Raw genomic sequence first — 5639 nt, 5'->3', positions numbered from 1 at the left:
AGTCAACACCTGCTGTATGTTGGGTCTAAGTGTCATGCACATCCCTGTGAAGAGAGTCCACCAAACAGGCTTTGTGTGAGCAACAAGGCTGTTTATTTCACCTGGGTGCAGGTGGGCTGAGTCCAAAAAAGGAGTCAGCAAAGCGTGGTGGGATTATCATTAGTTCTTATAGGTTTGGGATAGGTGTACAAAGTACATTCTCACGGGTGGGGAGAATATTACAAAGTACCTTTTTAAGGTGGGGGGAGACTATTACAAAGTACCTTCTTCAGGGCAGAGGGAGAATATATCGTATCAGTTAGGGTGGGGCAGGAACAAATCACAATGGTGGAATGTCATCAGTTACGGCTATTTTCACTTCCTTTGTGGATATTCGGTTGCTTCAGGCCATCTGGATGTATACGTGCAGGTCACAGGGGATATGATGGCTTAGCTTGGGCTCAGAGGCCTGACAATAAGTACATGAGTTAGAATCTCAATCACGGACTGGATTTGTTCATAGGAGCATCAGTTGCTCCTGTGAGCTGTGTCTTCTTAGAAGAGTTATAGCCTCACAAGTGTACTTAATTTTGATCTGAATGTCACCAACCTACCTGTAGACCAGATCTATATAAGAGAGTCAATTTTCCATCTTTCAACTTCTTTCAGGTGTGAGATGCAGAATCTCAACATTGGGCTATGATTATGTGGGAAAATGACATATTTTACTGTGACCTGGGTGTGCATAGGAGCATCAACATCTTTTCTGTGTTCTGGATCCTGTTAGGACACTGTCCCACCTGAGAGCTTTATACATTACACTGGAGAGTCGCAGTATGCTCTGAGATATTCATGCTGGTGAAGACCCATGCTTGTACCTGTGGCCCTGAGACCACGTGTGAGATTCAACATCCCTTTAAACGTGTGTATAGGTAGAAGAACCCTCACCTGCCTATAACCTGGGTTTAGAAATGTATCATCATCTTGACTGGGCATGGTGGCTCATGCCTGTAATCCCAAAAGTTTGGGAGGCAGAGGCGAGTTGATCACGAAGTCAGGAGTTCAATACCAGCCTAATCAACATGGTGAAACCCCATCTCTACTAAAAATACAAAAATTAGCTGAGTGTGGTGGCACTCACCTTTAATCCTAGCTATTCAGGGGCTGAGGCAGGAGAATAACTTGAACCCAGGAGGCAGAGGTTGCAGTGAGCCTAGATTATGCCACTGCACTCCAGCTTAGGCAACAGAGCAAGACTCCATCTCAAAAAACAAAACAAAACAACAACGGCCAAAAAAAAACAGGACCAAGGCATGAGAGGAGATTCACATCACATGAGGTCTGGGCCAAGCAATATGTCACAATCTTCTATATAGCTAACAGAAGAAAAAGAGAACTCACATAATCTAGGTGATGGGCTTAGAGAGATGTCATCATGACCCCTGTGGGCAGGGACCAGACAGAAGAATCACCTCACCTGTGTGCTGGGTTTAGCAATAAGGCATCTCTCTACTGTGGGCATGACCCTAAGAAGACAGTCACATCACCTAGGTTTTGGGCCCAGAGATAAGCCACAATGTTTTTTATGGGCAAGGCCCAGGTTAGAGAGGAGAGTCACATCAAATAGTTGATGAAGTCAAAAATATGTAACAATTCCCTCTGTGAGCAGGTCCAGGCAGAAGATTCACATCACCTTGGTGCTAGGCCCAGCGATATGTCACAATGTCTTCTGAAAGTAGAACAAAGGCAGCAGATTCAAGTCATCTTGGTGCTGGGCAAAGTAAAATGTCACCATATCCCCTGCAGGCAGTCCTTAGGAAGATGAGAAGAGACACATCAGCTACATGCTGGACCCAGCAATAGGTAACAATTGCCCGTTTTAAGCACAGATGAGACAGAAGAAAAGAGTTGAATCATCTAAGTGATGGGTGCAGAGATACATCACAATGCCCCAAGTGAGCAAAGCTGAGGCTGAAGTGTTATATCACATGGATGCCAAACTCAGCAGTATGTCACAATGGCCCATGTGGACAGAGAACAAATAGGAGAATGACATAAGCTGAGCTTGAGGCCCAGGGATATGTCATAGTGTCTCCTGTGGTCAGTATCAAGAAAGAAGAGACTTACATCACTTGGATACAAGGCCCAGTGATATGTCACAGTGCCCACTGTGGGCAGCACCAAGGCAGGAGTATGGAGACACATCTCCTATATGCTGGTTTCAGTGATATGTCACAATTACATCTTTGGACTGGGCCCAGGCAAAGGAGTCAAATCACTCAAGTACTGAACAGAGACTTGTGTCACAATCACACTTGCAGGATGGTTTAGAGATCAGATTAATAATCTCACACATGTTCTGGTTTTAAAATTGAGAGTCAACACATTCTGTATGTTGGGTCTGAGTACAAGAGTCGCAATCTCAATTGTGCACTTGATTTGTTGGTGAGAGCCTCAATTTCTCCTGCAGACTGTGGATGATTACTGGAGTCGCAGACTCACAGGTGTGCTGAATATTTGTCTGAGCATCACCAACCCATCTGTGAACCAAATCCACATATAAGAGTCAATTTTTCAACTTTGCACTGTTTTCACAAGGGAGACTCAGGACCTCAACAGTGGGCTGTGTTCATGTGGAAAGATGAAAAGTTTTATTGTTGGCTGGGTGTGCATATGAGTGTCACAATCTCACCTGTGTGCGGGGCTCTGCTAAGACCCTCTCAGTACCACCCAAGAGCCTTCTACAGTATTAATGAGAGTTGCAAACTGCTCTATGACCTTCATGATGTTATGGACCCATGATTGTACCTGTAGAACTAAGCTCAAATATGAGAGTCAACATCTTTATAATTGGCTGGTTCCAAATAAAACAGTCCTCACCTGCCTCAGAGCTAAGTTAGAAATGAGTCACCATCTCAACTGCAGCTGGATATTCACCTATGACAATCACAATTTCAACTGTAGACTGCATCCAGGTGTGAGATTCAAGACCTTACCAGTAGGCTCTTTCCATGTTTGAGGGTGAAAATCCTAATGGGTGGTGGGGCGTGCATACAAATAATGTATTCTCACCTGTGCGCTGGGCCCTGTGATGACACTCTCTGTACCACCTGAGAAGTTTATATTATATACAAGAGAGCAGTAATCTACTATAATGTTTATACAAAGAAAAGTCCCTGAATCTTGTGTATTTCTGTAAGCTTAGCTTTGACAGACAGCATCTCTCCTACTGTTTGGTTTGTGGTATGAGAGTTATCACCTCACCTATGAGCTGAATGAAGGTATATGTCACAATCCCACCTGTGCATAGAGGTAGCAGGAGAGCCACATCACTTTGGTGCTAGGCCAGGCATATGTCACAATTTTCCCTGAAGGCAGGCACCAGGCAGAAGAGTCACATCACCTGGGTGCTTGGTCAGTGATATGTTACAATCCTGTTCTAACAGCAGGACACAGAGTCACAGCCCTGGATGCTGGTTCCAGTGATATGTCACAATGCTCCCTGTGAGCAAGGCCCTGGGAAAAAACACATCACCGTGTTGCTGGGCCAAATGTTGTTATGGTCTTCCCTGTAGGCAGAGCGCAGGCAGCAGGGAGGAGTCACATCTCCTAGATGATGAATGCAGAGATATGTCACGAGGCTCTTGAGAGTGGTAGGGCTAAAGCCCTGTTTGCAGGGCATAGGCAGACACTTCCCATCTTCTAGGTGTTTGGCCCAGTGATATGTTACAGTTCTCAAAACGAGTGGGGCTGATGCAAAAGACAAGAGTCACATTCCCTAGGTGCTAGGTCCAGTGATATTTAACCATCCCGCACCTGACAGAAAGAGAAGAACACATCACCTAAATCATAAATGTAAAAGTATATTGTAGACAGCTGTGATGGCTCATGCCTGTAATTCCAATGCTTTGGGAGGCTGAGGCAGGTGGATTTTTTGTAATCAGAAGTTTGAGATCAGCCTGGAAAACATGGCAAAACTCAATCTCTACTAAAATACAAAAAAAGAAAGAAAGAAAGAAGAAAGAAAAAAAGAAGAAAGAAGAAAGAAAAAGAAAGAAAGAAAGAAGAAAGAAAGAAGAAAGAAAGAGAAGAAAAGGAAAGAAAGAAGAAAGAAAGAAAGAAAGAAAGAAAGAAAGAAAGAAAGAAAGAAAGAAAGAAAGAAAGAAAGAAAGAAAGATGGATGGATGCATGGTGGTGCACACCTGTAATCCCAGCTACACAGGAGGCTGGGGCATTAAAATCACTTGAACCTGGGAGGTAGAGTTAGCAATGACACAAGATTGTGCTGCTGCACTCCAGCCTGGGTGGCAGAATGAGACTGTCTCTCTCTGTATCTAGCTATCTATCCATCCATATATATATCCATATATGTCCATATATATCATATATATCCATATATAGATATATATATCTATATATATCTATATATAATCCATATATATATCTATATATATCTATATATAATCCATATATATATCCATATATATCCATATATAGATATATATATCCATATATATCCATATATAGATATATATATCCATATATATATCTATATATCTATATATAATCAATATATATATCCATATATAGATGTATATATCCATATATAGTTATATATATCCATATATATATCCATATATAGATATATATATCCATATATATATCCATATATAGATATATATATCCATATATATATCCATATATAGATATATATATCCATATATATATCCATATATAGATATATATATCCATATATATATCCATATATAGATATATATCCATATATATATCCATATATATCCATATATAGATATATATATCCATATATATATCCATATATAGATATATATATCCATATATAGATATATATATCGATATATATATCCATATATGGATATATATATCTATATATATATATATATATCCGTGTGTGTATATATATATATCCATGCAGGAGAGTCACAATGAAGCAGCTTTATTGTCTGGTGTGATACCCAGAGTTTCTTGTCTTACACCAAGAAAATCAAGGATGCAGACACACAAGACTGAGGTCAAGAGTGGAAGTTTAATAGGCAAAGAAAGAGAAGAGCTCTCTGCAGTAGAGAGGAGTCCCACAGAGATTGGTTACTGGTTCCATGGTGAAATGCAGGAGGTTTTATAGATAAGCTTGAGGAGGTGGTGTCCGATTTACATAGGGTGCAAAAGATTGGTTGGACCAGGTGTGCCATTTGCATAGAGAACAAAAAGCTGGCCACCACACCCTAATTCTTTATTATGCATATGGGTTCTTTGCCTGGTGGGTACCATGTTGCCGATTTCTTTACCGTATACATGGTCACAAAGAAGGAAAGATGGAGCCCCCATTTTGGATATGCCCAGCCCCCAGGTTGCCCTTTTCTATTAACACAACTGCTGGCATTCCCCCATAAAAACTTCCAGGTTGCTTATCTGTTTTTGCAGCTCAATTTTTCAGGCTGATGATTGAAAAAGAAAATTTCTTGGGCTGCTTTTTGTTAGAAGAAAAATTCTGGTGAGGACTCTTTTACCCTCACTATCTGCCTAAATAATTTCTTTCTAACTCCTTTACCAACATTACACAATGCTTGCAGTGTTAAAGTAGGTAGCCAGTGAGGTATGAGCAGGGCAAGAGAGGACTCCGC

This window comes from Homo sapiens, chromosome 19, assembly GCF_000001405.40.
Source record: "Homo sapiens chromosome 19, GRCh38.p14 Primary Assembly".
NCBI lineage: Eukaryota > Metazoa > Chordata > Mammalia > Primates > Hominidae > Homo > Homo sapiens.
The sequence above is the reverse complement of the archived record's forward strand: the minus strand, read 5'-3'. Positions refer to the sequence as shown.